Below are 20,746 nucleotides of genomic sequence, written 5' to 3'. Positions count from 1 at the left end.
TTGAGCTGATTCTTGAAGGATAGTTAAGGCAAAAATAAATGTTTCATACTTAAGTAGGAAGCTTGTTCACTGTAGTCATTTGGTAGGCTATATCATGTTTGCTGTGATAATATGTTATAGAGAATGACAGGTGTGCATATTACTTAAGATAAACCTTTTGGAATAGTGTGGTTGATGGTAAAGTCAGAGATGGGGGTGGGAGGGGTTTGTGGATTAAATAGAAAATAATTATTGAAAGTAGGTGTGTCCTGCTTCTGGAGGAAAAATAGAAGTGTATCTAAAAATGTTATGCATTTCTGTATAGTCTGTGAACCAATTCTCTTAAAATTTGAGAGATCAGAAAAATAATTAAACATTTTAAAGTACCTACAATTGCAATGCTGATAGGCAAATATTCTCTGCCTTTTAAATTATAATTCTAATGTACTAGTAATTATTATTGTCATTAATAATAGGCACATATATTTACTTTAACAACTCCCAGAGGAAAGAACAGTCACTCTTCCAATGTTATGAAGTAACTTCAATTTCCGCAACTTACCTCTAATTAAATTTTCAGGGAAATGTTTCAGGTGGGACAGAAATAAGTCAGAAGGGGATCAATTTAGGACTAATTGCCATGGGATATAAAAATCAGTGTAAGAGTGAAAGATGCCATTTCATAATTCAGCACACTTACAAATTAGGAAAAATAGGGTCTACATTTCATAATTATCTCTACAGCTATATTACATATAAGTTCAAAAATGCCATTTTTTGCTTTGAGTTTGTATAATTTGTATACATATTCTTCTTTCACTTTTCCTTTCTTTTTTTCTTTTAGAGTGTAAAACTCCGAAGTCCTAAATCAGGTAAAAATTTCTCTTGGCTTTAGATGACATTTAGCCCTAAGATTGGAAGAATGGTTCGTTAAGTTTAGAGTAATTCACTTCAGGAAGTTACTTGGTTCCCATAATAGCTTCCAGTATTCATTGATTTATTTCTGGCTTTCCCAGACTAGAAATTTTGTAAAGAGCAAGGTGAAGACAGGATTTTAGAATTCTGCTCCTTAATATATAACCTCTCTGAAATAATATATAAAAACTATTTCAGAGAGAATCTTTTAAAACTTTGCAGCTTTTCCACTATAGAGATTTTCCCACTGTTAACAGTGTGATTCAAAAAATTATTTCTGGCCACTTAATTCTTTAATTTGCTGTTGCCTCTCCAGTACTTGTCTGAGCTTTGCCTGTTTCATGCATTGAAGAACAAAAACTAACATTTATTGGGCACTTCCAGGTACTTTGTTTACATTATCACAAGTGGTAGTTGCCCTTAACATATTTATTCATACTGTCATATTATTCAAATACATATACAGATAATATAAAGGTTAAAAAACATGGGCTTTGCCAGGAATTTGAGGCTGCAGTGAGCTATAATGGCACCACTGCACCCAGCCTGTATGACAGAGCAAGATGCTGTCTCTAAAAAACATGACAACAGGCCAGGCGCAGTGGCTCACACCTGTAATCCCAGCACTTTGGGAGGCCAAAGCTGGCGGATCACGAGGTCAAGAGATCGAGACCATCCTGGCCAACATGGTGAAACCCTGTCTCTACTAAAAATTAGCTGGGCGTGGTGGCGGGTGCCTGTAGTCCCAGCTACTGGGGAGGCTGAGGCAGGAGAATCGCTTGAACCTGGGAGGTGGAGGTTGCAGTGAGCTGAGATTGCGCCACTGCACACCAGCCTGGGTGACAGAGCGAGACTCCATCTCAAAAACAAAACAAAACATGACAACAAAAACAAGGGCTTTAGAGTCAGATAGGCTTTAAGTCAAATCCCTGGTCTATGAAGAATTATCAACATGCATAAACTTGGTTAAATTACATACTTTCTCCTTCTATTTTTCTCATTTATAAAAGAATAGAATCCCTTAGATAATTTTTATGAGGATTAAATACAATAATGTCGTAAAGCTTTTAGCGTAGTACTTGTCAAATAAGTCCTCATTAAATATTATCGATTATAATTTTTATTAATCATTAAATAAGCATTTTACTAAGCAACTTCTGTGCACCTTACACAGGGTTAGAATAGGCAGGATGTATGAGAAAGAGTACTACTTAATGCTTATATTCAAATAGAGTAGATAAAATTAATACTCACGTGGAACCACTAAGTGATAATCTGTGTGGCACTGACTGTAATCACCAGGAGTCTGGGAAAACAGGATGGCATTACTGGAGTGGTTAGGAAAGGTTTCGCTGAGTGGAAGAAAGAACTTTAAATAATTTGTATAGACAGAGAGAAAAAAGGAGGGAATTCCAGCAGCAGGGATCAGCCTACCAATGACTCAAAGGTAGAAATGAGCATGATGTGTATGGAGAAATGGTGAGTAGGCTATTTTTTTTTTGCAATAGATATTCTAGTTTGTGAAATACAGAAAATAAATTTGGGTAAATAAGATGTGGGGCAAGATTCTGAAGGACTTAAAAAAGCTAGTCACATGAAATATCCAGAATAGACAGATCCATAAAGATAGAAGCAGATTAGTGATTGCCAGGGGCTGGGGGAAAGAGGAAAATAAGGAGTGATGACTTAATGGGTGCAGAGTTTCCTTCTAGGGTGATAAAAAGTATTCTGGAACTAAATTGTGGTGATGGTTGTACAATACTGTGAATGTGCTAAATGTCACTAATGGCAAATCTTATGTGTATTTTACTACCCAAAGTTAGGCAGAGGAATTTACACCCAAAGTTAGGCAGAGGAATTTAGATTTAATGTAGTAAGTAACAGGCATTATGGGTTCTTTGTTAGGGGAGTATTAAGATGAAATGGAATTTTAGGGAAATAATTACTAGAATACTGTTAACGAACAACTTTAGTTTTCAGAATATTCCCTAACAGCAAACTGGAAGATGATGAACTACTTCAGAGTAGTTATTAAGTATTTATTAAATGCCTACTGTATGCCAGTTATTTTATTAGGTGCTAGAAATAAGTACTACACTTGTGTGTATTACCTAGCATGTAAGAAATAAGACAATTTATTGATAAGACAAATTCTAAGGACTAAACAAACCCAATGACCAATGACATGTGAACCTCTTGTACTTTACTGCATTTTCATTTTCAAAAGGAATTAATATAATAGTAATACTCAGCACCATATAATTAAATGCTTATGTCAGTAGAATACCATCTGTATCTTCAGAAATTTACATCATGGGAAAATATGTCCATTACTGAAAATCTTCATCATGGAAAATTTCAAACACACATTTAAAACCTACCTTATCACACCAATAAAATTAATAATAATTCCTTAATAGTAACTAATATCCAGACTGTTCAGTTTTCAATTGTCTCAAAAATGTCTTTTTACAGTTGGTTTATTCAAATCTGGATTCAAACAAAATCTAAGCATTTCATTTGATTTGTATGTTTGTCTTCTTAAATCTGTCTTTTGAAATCTGTAACAGTTCTCCCTTCTTTTTTTAATATTTTCTTTTTAAATATATAACCGTTCTCCTTTCTATACTTTTCACATCATTTATTTGTTGAAGAGAGTGGGTCATTTGTCTTAAAAGACTGCTTAGTCTTCTAGATTTGGCTAATTGTATCACAATGGTTTTATTTAACATCCTCTATGCCCAATATTTCATGCAAAATGGGTGTTAGATCTAGAAGCTTGATTATATTCGGTTTCAGTGTCTTTGGGAGAATACTTCTGAAGTGAGCTATACATTTTTGATGAATCATAGGCTCATAGGCTAACGAGGTAGAAAAACAAAGTTCTTGAGGCTCCAGTCATTTTTCAGATAATATTTTATTTGGTGATTGTCGGCTAAGATTGATTGATTAAAAAATTATACAAAGAGAAAAGGGTGTTGACTTATGACTTTTAATTGATGGATTTCTCTGGTTTATTGTATACTTTCTTATCACAGAACTACATCAAGATCGTTCTTCTCCCCCACCTCCTCTCCCAGAAAGAACTCTAGAGTCCTTCTTTCTTGCCGATGAAGATTGTAAGTGGTAGCACTTTCTCTCAAAAAAATCATAAAAATGAAAATGTTAAAAGATTAACAATAAAGTAGGACCTAAATGGAAAGGTACAAAAATGATTACACAAAAGAATACATTTTAAAAGCCCCTAATATATAGTCAAAATAATGCCTAAAAAAGCCAAGCTAACAATTTATTATATGTAACATGAAGGCTTAAGAAGGTATGCAATGGAACATGTTTTTCTCCTTTTTTTTTTTTAAGGTATGCAGGCCCAATCTATAGAAACATATTCTACTAGCTATCCTGACACCATGGAAAATTCAACATCTTCAAAACAGACACTGAAGACTCCTGGAAAAAGTTTCACAAGGAGTAAGGTAAAGAAGATAAGAGTTTTGGGAAACATGCCGGAAACTTTCCCTTACTGAAAGTTTCCCCCTCCCCAGCATTAAGATGGAAAATTAGATTAAATATCTTTATTAAAACTAATTGTTGATATTATAACAGTCAAAATTAATAGAAGGAAACGAAAAAGAAGAAAAAATACAACTTAAAGAGGCATTTGTCAGAGGGAGAGGACCAGAAAAAATACCTATTGGGTACTATGCTTATTACCTGGGTGACAAAATTATCTGTACAGCAAACCCTTGTGACACACAGTTTACCTACATAACAAACTGGCACACATACCCCTGAACCTAAAATAAAAATTAAAAAATAAAAATAAAAATAAATGAAGAAAAAAAAAATCCACTTCTCCCTAAGGTTGATTTATAAATGTAAAAGATGCCCAAGGAAACTACCAACTTGTTTATTTCTGGAACTAGATAAACTGAATTCAAAGTTCACATGGGAGTAGGGGGAAGCAGGACTAGTCAGAAACCTGCAAATAAATAATAAATAAAAATAGTTTAGATAAATGTCTTTCTAAAATAATTTTTAAAAATAAAAATAAATAAAAAGAAAAGCAATGAAAGAGAGTCACCTTAGCAGATATTCGAATATGGCAAAGCCTCAATTAAAATGGCATGATAGGCCCAGCATGGTGGCTCATGCCTGTAATCCCAGCCTTTGGGAGGCCAAGGCGGGCAGATCACTTGAGCTCAGGATTCGAGACCAGCCTGGGCAACATGGCAAAACCCCGTCTCTACCAAAAATACAAAAAATTAGCCGGGCATGGTGCTGTGTGCCTGCAGTCCCAGCTACTCAGGAGGCTGAGGTGGGAGGATTGGTCGAGCCTGGAAGGTGGAGACTGCAGAGATTATGCCACTGTACTCCAGCCTGGGTGACAGAGTGAGACGTCATCTCAAAAATTTAAATATAAATATAAAATGGCATATTAGTGTATAAAAAGAAACATATACGAGCAGAGTAAAAGGGAAAGTTCTGAAATAGATCCAAATATATGTAGAAATTTAGTATACAATGAAGGTGGTATCTCAAAATCAGGGGATAAAGATGGATGGTTTAATAACTGTTGTTGGATCAAATAACCACCTGAAAAAAAGCAGGGTCTATTCCTTACATCTATACTAGGATAAATTCTAAGTGGCTAAATGATTAAAATGTTAAAAAAACAAAAACAAAAACCTCAATCCATAGAAGACCTAAAGAAACTTGGAAAGAGTCTTTTACAACCTGGGAGTGTGAATGACCTTTATAACTTACTCAAAATCCGGAGGCCATAAGAAAAGAGATAGATAAATTCAGCTAAATAAAAGAGAAAATGTATGCATGGTAAAACAATCACCTTAAAAATCAAAAGACAAAGAACAAATTGGAGGAAAAAAAATCTGCAACTGGCACCACAGCCAAAGGGGTTATTACTCTAATAGATAAAGAACTGTTAGAAATTCATAGAAAATAATAACCCCCAAATAAAAATGGGCAAAAATAGGTGATCAGATGGTTTGAAGAAAATAAATGAGCATGGTATGCCCTTTATATATTTGATATGTTCAATTTCATTCATAATGAAAAAATTACAAATTAAAACCACAGTGACATATTGCTTTTCATCCATCAGAATGGTAAATTCCAAAAGTTTGATTACACTCTCTGTTAGGGAGGCTATGGGGAAATAAGCACACTCAATGTTGTTGGTGAGAATGTCAAGTGGTACAACTTCTTTTTACAATTTTTTTTTTAAATTAGAGATGGGGTCTTGCTATGTTGTCTAGGATGGGGTCTCCCTATGTTGCCAACTTCTAGACTCAAGCGATCCTCCTGCCTTGGCCTCCCAAAGTGCTGGGATTACAGGTGTGAGCCACTAGAAGTGAAATTTATCCTACAAATATGCTTGCATACACATGAAATGACATGTATACCAAGTATTCATTGCAGCATTATCTGTAAGAGCAGATTACTGGAAACAACATAATTAATAGTGTTAATTGTTAGGGGAACTGATTAAATAAATCATAAATCATGTTATATCCATACAAATGGAATACTGTGCAGCTAAAAAAGAATTAGGACTTTCTCAATATATTTATATATAATTTATTAACTTTTACTTAAAAAAAGGAATATGATACATATGTGTATTTACTTATATATTCATAAGTAACACTGGAAGGATACTAACAACAGAGGATAAAAAACTAACAGTGGTTATCTACAGGAGGAGCATTAGAAACTGAGTAGTAGATTGAAGACAAGGATGGGAGCATTTTTACTAGGATTTCCTGACTTGTAAATAAATCATCTATTTTTTAAAAAATAACTAAAAATGTTACAAATAAATAATGTATTAAATATCTATTCCATGGAAGAGCACATTTCTGTTAGGTGTTAGGAAAACAGAAATGTCATAAAGGATAACTATTTGCCCTTGAAAATAGTATAGTTAATCTGTTGGAACAGAACACCTTTGAGAAACATGAAAATTATCAAGAAGAATAAAATGCCTGAAGCAGATTAAAAACATACATGCTGAAGAAATGTGGAGTAAAGAAGAAATTTGGGTAGGTTCCTTGAAGAGATAAATTAGAGACTCCAGGCCGGGCGCGGTGGCTCACGCCTGTAATCCCAGCACTTTGGGAGGCCGAGGCGGGCGGATCACGAGGTCAGGAGATCGAGGCCATCCCGGCTAAAACGGTGAAACCCCGTCTCTACTAAAAATACAAAAAATTAGCCGGGCGTAGTGGCGGGCGCCTGTAGTCCCAGCTACTTGGGAGGCTGAGGCAGGAGAATGGCGTGAACCCGGGAGGCGGAGCTTGCAGTGAGCCGAGATCCCGCCACTGCACTCCAGCCTGGGCGACAGAGCGAGACTCCGTCTCAAAAAAAAAAAAAAAAAAAAAAAAAAAATTAGAGACTCCACCATAAAAGTAGAGGAAGGAAGTATGGCTAACAGTTTGGAAGGTGGCCTTAGTAAATTGAATACAGAATATGACTGGCAAAAATTCTTGGCTAGAATGGAAATGGCTGTGTATCATGGATATATTCAGAAGCCATTGTGGATTCTGAAATGGTCCTAATAAAGGAGGGAAGTGGGAATTTCATCCCCTCTACCCCTCTGAGTCCCTTCCCTTCCCTTCCCTTCCCTTCCCTTCCCTTCCCTTCCCTTCCCCTTCTCCCTTCACTTCCCTTCCTCTGTCTCTCTCTTTCTCTTTCTTTCTTTTTTAGACAGGGTCTTGCTCTGTTGCCCATGCTAGAGTGCAGTGGCATAAATATGGCTGACTGCAGCCTTGACCTCCTGGACTCAAGTGATCCTCCTGCATCAGCCTTTCGAGTGGCTGGGAACACAGGTCTGCACCACCATGCCTGGCTTTTTAAAATTTTTGGTAGGGATGGGGTCTCACCATGTTGCCCAGTCTGGTCTTGAACTCCCTGGCCTCAAGGGAACCTCCCACTTGAGCCTCCCAAAGTGCTGGAATTACAGGCATGAGCCACCTTGCCAGCACTCCACTGCTCCCCGTCAATATTCTGATAGCATAATTAAAAAAAAATTTATTGGCTGGCCACGGTGGCTCACGCCTGTAATCCCAGCACTTTGGAAGGCCAAGGCAGGTAGGTCACAAGGTCAGGAGTTTGAGACCAGCCTGGCCAATATGGTGAAACCCTGTCTCTACTAAAAATACAAAAAATTAGCCAGGCATGGTAGCAGGTGCCTGTAGTCCCAGCTACTCAGGAGGCTGAGGCAGAAGGATCGCTTGAACCCGGGAGGCAGAGGTTGCAGTGAGCTGAGATCACGCCACTGCACTCTAGCCTGGGCGACACAGCGAGACTCCATCTCAACAACAACAACAACAACAACAACAACATTTATTAATCTTTTTTAAAAGACATGTTCTCACTCTGTCGCCCAGGCTGGAATGCAGTGGTGGGATCAGAGCTCACTGTAGCCTTGAACTCCTGGGATCAAGCAGACCTCCCGCCTCAGCCTCCCTAGTAGCTGCTACCACATTCAGCTAATATTTTTTTTACTTTTTGTAGGGACAGGGGTCTTGCTATGTTGCCTAAGATGGTCCTGAACTCCTGAGCTCAAACAATCCTCCTGCCTTGGCCTCTCAAAGTGCCGGGATTACAGGTGTGAGCCACTGTGCTCAGCCTCTGATACTATTATTTCAAAATATGTAGTGTGATACTTGCATGGGTGATATAAATAGCAAGATAAAATCAAGTAGAGGTTTTGCACTGAATTAAAAATGGCAAGATGGAAAAACAACTTTGTACATTTTCATGGCTATTTTTAAGGAAATTAAATTCTTTTCACTTAAGTCTATATTTCTATTTGATTAAAGTATTTCAAGTTTCACAGGAAAAAAAACTAACATTTTTCCTTTCTTTTGTAGAGTTTGAAAATTTTGCGAAACATGAAAAAGAGTAAGTTGGTACTTATGTTTAAAAATATCGTTTTCTCAATTTTGTAATTTTTATTTATATAACCAACCAATATTGTGAAAAGATTAACAATATTATTCCTAAACAGAGCCTCCATAGGGTCCTATGAATCAGAACAATCACCCATAGGCCTCCTTTTTTTTTTTTTTTTTTTTTTGCTAGGCTTCACAATACTAATATTGGGCAGGGAGTAGGCGATGAGAAGTCTTCTGTTTAATACACAAGAATAATAATTAGTACAATGGCATTAAAAAAATTTTAAATTTATTTTTAAAATTTATTTTAATAGCAGAGATGGGGTTTCACCATATTGCCCAGGTTGGTCTCGAACTCCTGGGCTCAAGTGATCCTCCTGCCTTGGCCTCCCAAAGTGCTGGGATTACAGGCATAAGCCACTGCACCCGGCCAATGTTTGGTACTTTCTACCCATCCTAAGATGCTGTCATACAATTGGATTATTTAAAATTTCCAGCAGTCTAACCTCAGATGTATTTTCTTTGAAAATAGTCACAGCAAAGCATATTGTGAACAAATGTGTTGACTTCATGAAATAAGCAAAGCATTGACACATTTCCATTTTTACTAAGTATTATTAGCAATAAAAGTCTGTTGCTTACTATTTTTGCTACGTTGTAATGAAAATAAAATCCATTGAGTCCTGAAACTGTGGAAAATTATCTTAGAAATCTTATTTACAAATAAAAAATATAAAAACCATGGTGATGGCCGGGTGTGGTGGCTCATGCCTATAATCCCAGCACTTTGGGAGGCCGAGGCAGGTGGATCACAAGGTCAGCAGTTTGAGACCAGCCTGGCTAACATAGTGTAACCCCGTCTCTACTAAAAATACAAAAATTAGCCGGGTGTGGTGGCATGCACCTGTAGTCCCAGCTACTCGGAAGGCTGGGGCAGGAGGATTGCTTGAACTCGGGATGCGGAGGTTGCGGTGAGCCAAGATTGCGCCACTGCACTCCAGTCTGGGCAACAGAGCGAGACTCCGTCTCAAAAAAAAAAAAAGAACCATGGTGACAATCTTAAAAAAATTTTTGATACATTTGGTTAATCAGTGAAAGAGCAGTTATTTGACATTAAACTGGTACTATAGGGAGAGACAAAAAGCACTGAGAAAATCTGATGTAGGTATAGTCTAAGAAAGAAGGTTTCCTTTTGGGTTTTCATTCTATCTCCCTACCCAAAAGCTCCAGGTTCTTGAGCTAGTTTGCTATCACTGCCATTATAGCTGATCTCTGACACCAACTCATGATGGCTGAAGTATAGTTGGAAAACATACCTTTTCTCCTAAAAAGAGTCAAAAGAGAATTTAAACATTTCAAATGGAAATTATGGTAGGAAACAGGGGAAATAAAACAGCCAAGTGCAAAGAAATGAGTGACTTAAATGGTTAACCAAAGATTGGTTTGATCCACCTAACTCAGAAAACAGTTTTCTTTCTCTAGCTCTAACTCTGCCTAGAATATCAAATAAAGAAACAGAAACTTCAGGTAGATTTAGGTTGGCACAGCTTTGAAGGTATAGTGGAACTTTCAGAGATTGAGTCTTATTTCTAAGTAAGAGCTCCCAGTTCATTCTCTGGATCTGGGCTGTGCTGTATTTTTCAGTTACCTTGATCCTCTGGTCTTTTGCCGTTAAATGAAGAACATCTGGCTCCCAAAATTGATCCTGAAGCTTTAGACTGTACTTCATATGTGTCCTCAGCCCCTTCCAGATGGTTCATGATTCTGGAATTCCATGTGTTCTCCCTGTAGCCTGGATCTCCCACTGGTCTGTAAAGCTGGTCCTACTTTTAATGAAATTAGGATTCTTCTTCTGTTATTTTAAGCTAGTATCTAAGCCTAGTGTCATTCATTCATTCATTCAATGAATATTTGTTGAGTGTCTACTATGTTCCAGGCATTCTGTAAGGCACTTGGTATATGATGGTGAACAGAACAGATATGGGCTCTGCCTTTGTGGAATGTAAGTTTGGTGAGGGGTTCCAACATTAAACAAACAACATTAAACAAAATTTGGTTGACCATATTCACAAATATATACTTAATAACACATGATAAATGCTATGAAGGAAAACAAAAGGGTAACTATGAGAGGATAACAAAGGGGATCCACTTTAGAATGAGTAGTCCAAGAAAGCCCCCGCTTTTTTTGAGACGGAGTCTAGCTCTGTCGCCCAGGCTGGAGTGAAATGATGCGATCTCGGCTCACTGCAACCTCCCCCTCCCAGGTTCAAGTGATTCTCCTGCCTCAGCCTCCCAAGTGCTGGGATGACAGGCGCACACCACTATGCCCAGCTAATTTTTGTATTTTTAGTAGAGACAAGGTTTCACCGTGTTGGCCAGGATGGTCTTGATCTCCTGACCTTATGATCCACCCACCTCGGCCTCCCAAAGTGCTGGGATTACAGCTGTGAGCCACTGTGCCCGGCCCAAGAAACCCTTTTTAAGGAAGTGACAACTGAACCCAAAACATGAAGGAGCAGCCAGCCAGCCAAAGGGTCCAGAGAAGAGTATTTCAGATAGAGGGAACAAAATCTCTGAGGTAGGAGATTTTGGTGTATTGTAGAAACTCAAAGGGAAGCCATCTTAGATGCAGGGTAGTAAGTAAAGAGGAGACAGGAGTAAGGCGAAGCTGGAAAGATCAGGGAGGAGCAGTTAGATTTTTATGGGTCATGCATGGTAAGTAGTTTAGTTTATTCTAAGTGTAATGGGAATCCATAAAAGGGTTTTAGGCAGAGATGTTACATGCTCTGTTTCCTATTTATTTTTAAACATGCTTCACAGAAAAGTATAAAACGATCACACTGGCTGCTACATACAGAATGAATTATAGAGTGACAAGAGTGGAAGCTGTCAACTGTTGGTGGGAAACTTTAATTGCTCAGAAATCCTTTAGTTACAAGTGACAGAAAACCTAACTTAAGCTGACTTCAGCAGAAAAGGGGAATTTACTGGCTTGTAACAATGGTCCAAATGATGTAATCAGAACCTAAATTCTCATTTCATGTCTCTCAGGTTAGTCTCACTCTGTGTTAACTCATTCATAGGCAGGTTTTTATCATGTGAGTTCAGGCTTATGATGGAAAAAAAATAACTCTTTATTGGTTTTCAAGCCACACTGTGATGACTAGTGCCAACTGGGTCTGATTGTCTTGACTTGGTTCATTTGCCCATCCCTGAACCAATTATAGTCAATGTTCTGATTAGGCAGGATAGTGTCATGCCCTAATATTTAACACTTATTACATGTGGACACTGTCCAATCAGGAATGAGGTCAGACCTATACATCTGGTGTGACCATGCCAATATACCAACTGAAAATCAGCCCTAGTTATAGGTCATTTCCTTAATCTAAAGGTACAATCAGCTCTAATGGAAGCACGGGAACTGAAAACTGGGGAGGGGTAGTTTCCTAAAGGAAAATTCAAGTTCTATTATCAGAAGAGGGAATGAAGTTTAGGCAGGCAGCATAAATATATCCATGATAGGCCAGGTGCAGTGGCTCATGCCTGTATTCCCAGCGCTTTGGGAGGCCAAGGCAGGCAGATCACGAGGTCAGGAGTTTGAGACCAGCCTGGCCAACATGGTGAAACCCCATCTCTACTAAAAATACAAAAAATTTACCCAGGCGTGTTGGCATGCACCTGTAGTCCCAGGTCCTCGGGAGGCTGAGGCAGGAGAATCGCTTGAACCTGGGAGGCGGTGGTTGTGGTGAGCCGAGATTGTGCCATTGCACTCCAGCCTGGGCGACAGAGTGAGACTGTCTCAAAAAAAACCCCAAAACAAACAAACAAAACAAAACAAAACAAAAAAATCCATGATGAGCCAAAATAACAAAATAGCAGTTTCCTCTGATATATATGTGTGGAATCTGTGCCTCCTTTGTAAAAAAAACAATATTCTCCTTTGAGACAATTTTGTTTTCTTTCTGAAGGATGTATATAACTTTCAGCTCCTATGCAGTATACAGATTACTGATATCTCCTGAACTTCCTCACCTTTACTACTTTCTATTAATGTCTCTATCTTCAGTGCCTACAGCAATGCTTAGCACATAGTAAGTATTTAAATATGAATAGTATTTTATACTTATACTTTATATTAAGTATTTTAATATATTAAGTATAATAATTATACTTACTATAGTAATATAGTAAGTACAAAATAAATATGTATCTTAATTAGATCTGATTGAAATTCAGTATGTAGTCTAGTGATTCATACTCAGGTACCTCCTCGAAAAGGAAGGTGTTTCTAGAATCCTAGTATTACGTATGCATGTGCAAATATGCATACCTAATATGCATATGCAGTTCACACAGTGCATTCTGAAAATGTTGAAAACAACACAAAAACACTTAATATCTTCCCATTTATATGCAATTTGTTAGAAAGTTTATACAAACCTGAAATTATCTTTTTCCATTGCCAAGACAGAGAATGTGCAAAATGTGGACAAAGTTTTTAAGGGACTGTTTTCAAAACTGCAGAAACTGATACATGAATATATCAATGTACATATATGACCTATGAGTAACTTATAAGTTAACTTATACCTATAAGTAACTAAAATAGCAAAACAAAGCAGCATAACAATGCTTTTGGGAGATTATTGGCCTAAATAATAATAATTATTATGTTTTTTTGAGACAGGGTCTTGCTCTGTCACCCAGTCTGGATGGAGTGCAGTGGCGCAATCTGGGCTCACCTCATCCCTCTGCCTCCCAGGTTGGATCAATTTTTGTGCCTCAGCCTCCCAAGTAGCTGGGATTAGAGATTTGCAACACCATGCCTCGCTAATTTTTTTTTGTATTTTTAGTAGAGACGGGGTTTCACCATGTTGGACAGGCTGGTCTCGTACTCCTGGCCTCAAGTTATCTGCCTGCCTCAGCCTCCCAAAGTACTGGGATTACAGGCGTGAGTCACCGTGCCCGGTTATGGGCCTAAATTAGAATCACTTATAATTAGAAAAAAATCAGGCTGGAAAGTGGAATAAAAAAAGAGATTCCAGGGTAGAGGATTATATAATACAAATAAAAGACTTGTCATGGATGAATTATTGTGGAGAAGAAATGATGTAAAAATGTACTAAGAGTGGCCAGAGGAAAAAGTAATATGAAGTCCAAAGCCAAAATGTGAATTTCAAAAAAAAAAACAAAAAAATGCTGATTCATGATATATTGGATCTTATTTCCTTAGCAATTTTCTTTAGTGTTGGGCTTTACTATACAATCTGTTTGCAAAGAAAAGAAACCTTTTAAGAAAAAAACCAAAAATACAAATGAGAATATTATAGTGTCAACCCATTTGTAAGCACCTACATTTTGTTAACATTTGACAGTGATATGTTTATTTGGGATTATTAATTACTCTTAACAATTATATGTGATCTGATCAACAGTCATCTGAGTCTGTCTTTAGTCTTTCCCTTATATTTTTTTCTTTTGATTCTAGGTATCTGTAATTCTTGCCCACCAAACAAGCCTGCAGAATCTGTTCAGTCAAATAACTCCAGCTCATTTCTGAATTTTGGTATGTGTGTTATTTTACTGAAGAGTTAAAAAAATTACCTAAATTACTCATTTACAGTATAACTGATTCAACTTTAAATATGATTTTAGGTTGCATGTATAGGTCCTTATGTTTATATTCTTTTCCATGCAATTTATCTTTTTATTTTTAACCTTAACTACCTCTTAACATCTCACACAGAACTAAATTATCTAGTATATGTGGAAAATAAAGCTAGGTAACCAAATTATTGTGTTGGCATGTAGTAAATAAATATGACTATCCAAATGGAGAAATTGAGATGCTGTGATATTCTGGTTCATATCTAAAGCAAATTTATAAAAAACATAGAAGTATGATAAAAAGAACAGCAGTTGCCACTATTTAATCTTATATAACTAATTCAATAGTAGGAAATGAAGCACAATTCTGACGGTTTTAAGGTTTGCTTACCCAATTGCTCCTAAGTATAAGCTATAAACTTAAAACAATAATTTTATATTCTTCTAAGCATTCTATTGTCCTATGTGATACATATTTATGTACTATTTAAAGTAGTATCAGGTATAATTTTTTGTAAGAATAGCAATTAGTGGTAGGCTATTACTACTAAAAATTATTATTAACCAATCCCCTTGAAAGAGTGTGAGGCCTCCAGGAGTCCCTGAATCACACTTTGAGAACTGCCACTTAATGGTATTGTCCTTACTTACACAATCAAAATTAGGTTGCCGCCACATGCAGACTGTAGGTGGCAAGAAAAGAGGAAAAAGTGGAGGTGTGGCCTCCTCTTCTTACTCTTCTGGTCTTCAAAGGCACTGGCCTGGAAATGGCCAGATCATATCAGCTCATATTCCCTTGAAGAGAACTTAGACATGTGCTATAACTAAATTGCAAAAGAGACTGGGAAATGTAATATTGCTGGGCAGACAGACAAAATTGCCTACACACAATTCTATTTGAGGAAGAAGCAAAGAAGATATTGGTGGATGGGGAGCAATCTCTGCCACGCCTAAGTTAAGAGTCCCTGTGTCATCTTCACAAAATGTTTAACTAAAATTTCTGGATCTGTCTTTTTTGCCATAAAATTTTGTTTGGATTTCATTAACTCTGAGGTTTAAAAAGTTATAATTTAGGCTGGGAGGGGTGGCTCACATCTGTAATCCCAGCACTTTTGGAGGCTGAGGCGGGCGGATCATGAGGTCAAGAGATCGAGACCATCTTGGCCAACATGGTGAAACCCTGTCTCTACTAAAAATACAAAAATTAGCTGGGCATGGTGGTACATGCCTCTAATCCCAGCTACTCAGGAGGCAGAGGCAGGAGAATCGCTTGAACCAGGGAGTCGGAGGTTGCAGTGAGCTGAGATTGCGCCACTGCACTCCATCCCGGCAACAGAGCGAGACTCCATCTCAAAAAAAAAAGTTATAATTTAAAAAATAAGTTATGATTTATATGAAATCATTTAGCTAAAACATTCACACAGAATATTGTAAAAACTATGAAAAAAGCAAGCCAGGTGGTTCATGCCTATAATCCCAGCACTTTGGGAGGTTGAGGTGGGAGGGTCCCTTGAGCCCAGGAGTTGAAGACCAGTCTGGGCAACATAGCAAGACCATCTCATTTAAAAAAAAAAAAGGAAAAAAGAAAAAGAAAAAAGCTCCCAACTTTACCTGGAACATAAATGTTCTCTGCTTCCTTCTTTACTCTAAATCAGTGATACAACTTGAGTACTCTAGGCCTACCTAGCTTAACAACAGTCTACATAATCTAATATGAGGATAAAATATTAGAGAGCTGCCTCCATGTTGCTTCCTCTCAAATATGCCTAGATTTGAACATTTTTCCTACTTAAAAAGCAGCATTTTCATGCCTGTAATTCCAGCACTTTGGGAGGCTGAGGAGGGAGGATTACTTGGGGCCAGAAGTTTGAGACCAGCCTAAGCAACACAGTGAGACTCTGTCTCTACAAAAAAATGTTTTTTTTTTAGAACTAGCCAGGCATGGTGGCATGTGCCTGTAGTCCCAGCTACTCAGGAGGCTGAGGTGGGAGGATCACTTGAGCCCAGGAGGTTGAGGCTGCAGTGAGCCGTGATCATGCCACTGCACTCTAGCCTGGGCGACAGTACAAGACTCTGTCTTGGAAAAAAAAACCCAAAAATCAGCACTTACTTTTTTAAGGCAATATCAATTTAAGTGCATGTTACTCAAAAAAGTACTTAAATCTGAATGAAAAAATTTATGATTCAGGTTTATTTTCCCTGAATTGGCCCACATGCAAAAAAAGGTAGCTCGAAACTGTTTTAAGCTACTGAGAATTGACCAGTGAAAGAGATCAAATATATGCATTCCTAAAATTTTAGGTACTCAATACTAACATATGTCCTTATCTCTATTCCTAGTCCACTTGGGTTACAATCAAGTGATCTGTACTGACAGGATGATTCTGACTATTGTGTGTGAAACTATTTAACCAAAAGTATTCCTTCCATCTTCTTTCTTGCCACTCGGAAGAGTAAAATGTACATCAACTAGGCTGTGTGTCCCCTCCACCAATTTTTTTTTATCATCACCATTAACAAATTTGAATGTGCTTTTTTTTCTTGAATCTTCTTTCCCCTTCCCTACTCTCCTTCTCTTCCAGTTCTGGCATAGTTTTCTAGGTTGGTAATTTTTTCTTTTTTAAATTGAGATGGAGTCTTGCTCTGTCACCCAGGCTGGAGTGCAGTGGCACGATCTCAGCTCACTGTAACCTCAGCCTCCTGGGTTCAAGCGATTCTCCTGCCTCAGCCTCCCCTGTAGCTGGCATTACAGGCACCCGCCACCATGCCCAGCTAATTTTTGTATTTTTAGTAGAGACAGGGTTTCATCATGTTGGCCAGGCTGGTCTTGAACTCCTGACCTCAGGTGATCCACTCACCTCAGCCTCCCAAAGTACTGGGATTACAGGTGTGAGCCACCACGCCTGGCTTCTGGGTTGAAATTTAAGCAACATTTGAGTAGTTACCATAGGCTTGAATTCCTGGCCCCAAGCTATCCTCCATACTCACCTCCAAAAGTGCTCGGATTATAGGTTTGAGCCACCATGACTGGCCTGAGGAACATTTGAGTACTTACTATGTGCCAGGCATTGTGCTGGATGCTGTTTTTTTTTTTCAATTCTTTTTTTTTTTCCCCTCTGCAGCCTTGACCTCCCTGGGCTCAAATGATTTGCCCACCTCAGCCTCCTGAGTATCTGGGACCAGAGGTGCAAGCCACCATGCCCGGCTAATTTTTTTGTGTTTTTTTGTAGAGACAAGGTTTCACTATGTTGCCCAGGCTGGTCTTGAACTCCTCGGCTCAAGCGATCCACCTGCCTTGGCCTCCCAAAGTGTGGGATTATTCAAAGGCATGAGCCACTGCACCCTGCCCCATTCGCTTTTTACACAAATATCTCATTTGATCCTTACATCAGTTTTTTAAGGTAGATAATACAATTTGTATGATGATGAAATTAAAGGTTTAGGTATATCTTTGAGTTTTTCATTTTATTATTCCCCTATACTTCAAACATTTCATTTCTTACTTTAAGTCCCTAAAGTTGCTAAGTGTAAGATAACTTAAAAATACACTGCCATTAGGCCTGGCTCAGTGGCTCACACCTGTAATCCCCAGACTTTGGAAGGCCAAGGTGGGTGGATCACTTGAGGTCAGGAGTTTGAGACCAGCCTGGCCAACAGGGTGAAACCCCATCTCTACTAAAAATACAAAAATTACCCAGGCATGTTGGCTGGCGCCTGTAATCCCAGCTACTCAGGAGGCTGAGGCAGGAGAATCGCTTGAACCCGGGAGGCGGAGGTTGCAGTGGGCCGAGATCGCGCCACTGCACTCCAGCCTGGGCGACAGAGCAAGACTCTGTCTCAGACAAAAAACAAACAAACAAAAAGACACTACCATCAAAAAGAAAAGTCATAAAGTCACATGTTGCTGAAATGATAAAGAACCAACATCATCAACATGCACATCTTTTGAAAGCATCCAGAAATAGCCTTCATTAGTTGTGAAAAATTTTCTCATCCTCCTTCTTTGGGGTGGGGTAGGGGGAACAAGTTTGAAGAAGAAAGATAAATAATAATGTTTACTTACCTACTTAGTTTTTCAGGATTGTTTATTTTTTCTAAGATTTTCAAACATAATCTCTTGGTAAATTGAAGGATTTCTGGACCGACATAGAGGTATAACTAGATGTAATACAATAATGTTATAAGTAACGGTGCTATATTTTTGTGAAATTAAAATTTCCTGACTTCATTTAATGGGATGGAGTGGATGACAAAAAGTCATAGACAAATGATATTATATACTAAATTATCAAAGCCTATATATAACCAGGGTCCTACATTCTATTATTACCATTATTAAATTTGTAAGTGCTCTTCAAATTTAAAGTGTTATTAGTATTCTGTTATCATTTAAGCTTTAGATTACTACAATCCCTTTATAATCTATTACTAAACTGGTCAAGATGCTGCCTAACATTTAAAAAAAGACCATGTATTTGCATATATTATAATATACTCTAAAATCCAAGTATTCATTTCTATACTTAAAACATCTTTCTTTTCATTCAACTTTATTTTTGTTCCCAGGTTTTGCAAACCGTTTTTCAAAACCCAAAGGACCAAGGAATCCACCACCAACTTGGAATATTTAATAAAACTCCAGATTTATAATAATATGGGCTGCAAGTACACCTGCAAATAAAACTACTAGAATACTGCTAGTTAAAATAAGTGCTCTATATGCATAATATCAAATATGAAGATATGCTAATGTGTTAATAGCTTTTAAAAGAAAAGCAAAATGCCAATAAGTGCCAGTTTTGCATTTTCATATCATTTGCATTGAGTTGAAAACTGCAAATAAAAGTTTGTCACTTGAGCTTATGTACAGAATGCTATATGAGAAACACTTTTAGAATGGATTTATTTTTCATTTTTGCCAGTTATTTTTATTTTCTTTTACTTTTCTACATAAACATAAACTTCAAAAGGTTTGTAAGATTTGGATCTCAACTAATTTCTACATTGCCAGAATATACTATAAAAAGTTAAAAAAAAAACTTACTTTGTGGGTTGCAATACAAACTGCTCTTGACAATGACTATTCCCTGACAGTTATTTTTGCCTAAATGGAGTATACCTTGTAAATCTTCCCAAATGTTGTGGAAAACTGGAATATTAAGAAAATGAGAAATTATATTTATTAGAATAAAATGTGCAAATAATGACAATTATTTGAATGTAACAAGGAATTCAACTGAAATCCTGATAAGTTTTAACCAAAGTCATTAAATTACCAATTCTAGAAAAGTAATCAATGAAATATAATAGCTATCTTTTGGTAGCAAAAGATATAAATTGTATATGTTTATACAGGATCTTTCAGATCATGTGCAATTTTTATCTAACCAATCAGAAATACTAGTTTAAAATGAATTTCTATATGAATATGGATCTGCCATAAGAAAATCTAGTTCAACTCTAATTTTATGTAGTAAATAAATTGGCAGGTAATTGTTTTTACAAAGAATCCACCTGACTTCCCCTAATGCATTAAAAATATTTTTATTTAAATAACTTTATTTATAACTTTTAGAAACATGTAGTATTGTTTAAACATCATTTGTTCTTCAGTATTTTTCATTTGGAAGTCCAATAGGGCAAATTGAATGAAGTATTATTATCTGTCTCTTGTAGTACAATGTATCCAACAGACACTCAATAAACTTTTTGGTTGTTAAACTGACTTCATTGCAGTAGTGTTTAGGTAATACTTCTCCAGAAACTAGTGAAATCAAACCACAGTAATTTTATCTGCTGAGTATATATCATTGTAATCAATTACTTCCAAATGTCTTTATCAATAAACAAATATACTAAAAGAATTCTAGGTAACCATGAGTTACTTAGGGCACCATGAGTGCATCTGTAGACCCAGCTACTCATTCCTTGAGCCCAGGAGTTGGAGGCCAGCCTGGTCAACAGAGCGAGACCTTGTCTCTTTTTTTTAAGAGTCAGGGTCTAGATCTGTCACCCAGGCCAGAGTGCAGTGGTGCGACCACTCCTCCCACCTTAGCCTCACGAGTACCTGGGACTACAGGCGCGTGTCACGACACCCAGATAATTTAAAAAATACTTTTGTAGGGACAGAGGCTCACTATGTTACCAACGCTGATCTGGAACTCCTGGCCTCATGCAATCCTCCCGCCTCGGCCTCCCAAAGCTCTGGGATTACCGGCCTGAGACACCGAGCCCCGCCCCGCCCGTCTCTAAATAAATACTTAAAAGAACCCCAGGTAAAAGCTAAAGCGAGGATGAAATTCTAAATGAATTTCTGAGCA

At 37.4% G+C, this 20,746-nt stretch overlaps 1 protein-coding gene and 1 long non-coding RNA gene across 13 annotated transcripts in view; one reads left to right on the top strand and one right to left on the bottom strand.

Annotated features, from left to right (window-relative positions):
• The window catches only part of PTPN22 (protein tyrosine phosphatase non-receptor type 22), a 57,949-nt gene extending 37,798 nt beyond the window's left edge, over positions 1-20,151 (top strand). For 9 of the 12 annotated variants that reach the window (XM_047417630.1, XM_047417631.1, XM_047417632.1 and 6 more), the window contains 6 exons: positions 824-851; positions 3,933-4,013; positions 4,255-4,370; positions 8,790-8,820; positions 14,308-14,385; positions 18,993-20,151. In XM_047417630.1, the coding sequence (XP_047273586.1) occupies positions 824-851; positions 3,933-4,013; positions 4,255-4,370; positions 8,790-8,820; positions 14,308-14,385; positions 18,993-19,057 (399 nt within the window). In that variant the 3' untranslated portion in view covers positions 19,058-20,151. Of the gene's footprint in view, positions 1-823; positions 852-2,282; positions 3,909-3,932; positions 4,014-4,254; positions 4,371-8,789; positions 8,821-14,307; positions 14,386-18,992 lie in introns of those variants that run through there. The other 3 variants (XM_011541225.3, XM_011541222.2, XM_011541223.3) reach the window with 2 other exon arrangements.
• The window catches only part of AP4B1-AS1 (AP4B1 antisense RNA 1), an 88,626-nt gene that overhangs the window by 67,276 nt on the left and 604 nt on the right, over positions 1-20,746 (bottom strand). The window contains exons 2-3 of the long non-coding RNA NR_125965.1: positions 19,471-19,575; positions 18,490-18,584 (exon numbers count right to left, since the gene is read on the bottom strand). This is a non-coding gene — a long non-coding RNA (AP4B1 antisense RNA 1). The remainder of the gene's footprint in view (positions 1-18,489; positions 18,585-19,470; positions 19,576-20,746) is intronic.

The sequence above is a fragment of the Homo sapiens genome, chromosome 1 (assembly GCF_000001405.40).
Source record: "Homo sapiens chromosome 1, GRCh38.p14 Primary Assembly".
Taxonomy (NCBI): Eukaryota; Metazoa; Chordata; class Mammalia; order Primates; family Hominidae; genus Homo; species Homo sapiens.
Note: the sequence above shows the minus strand (reverse complement) of the source record. Positions and strands in the feature narration are given on the sequence as shown.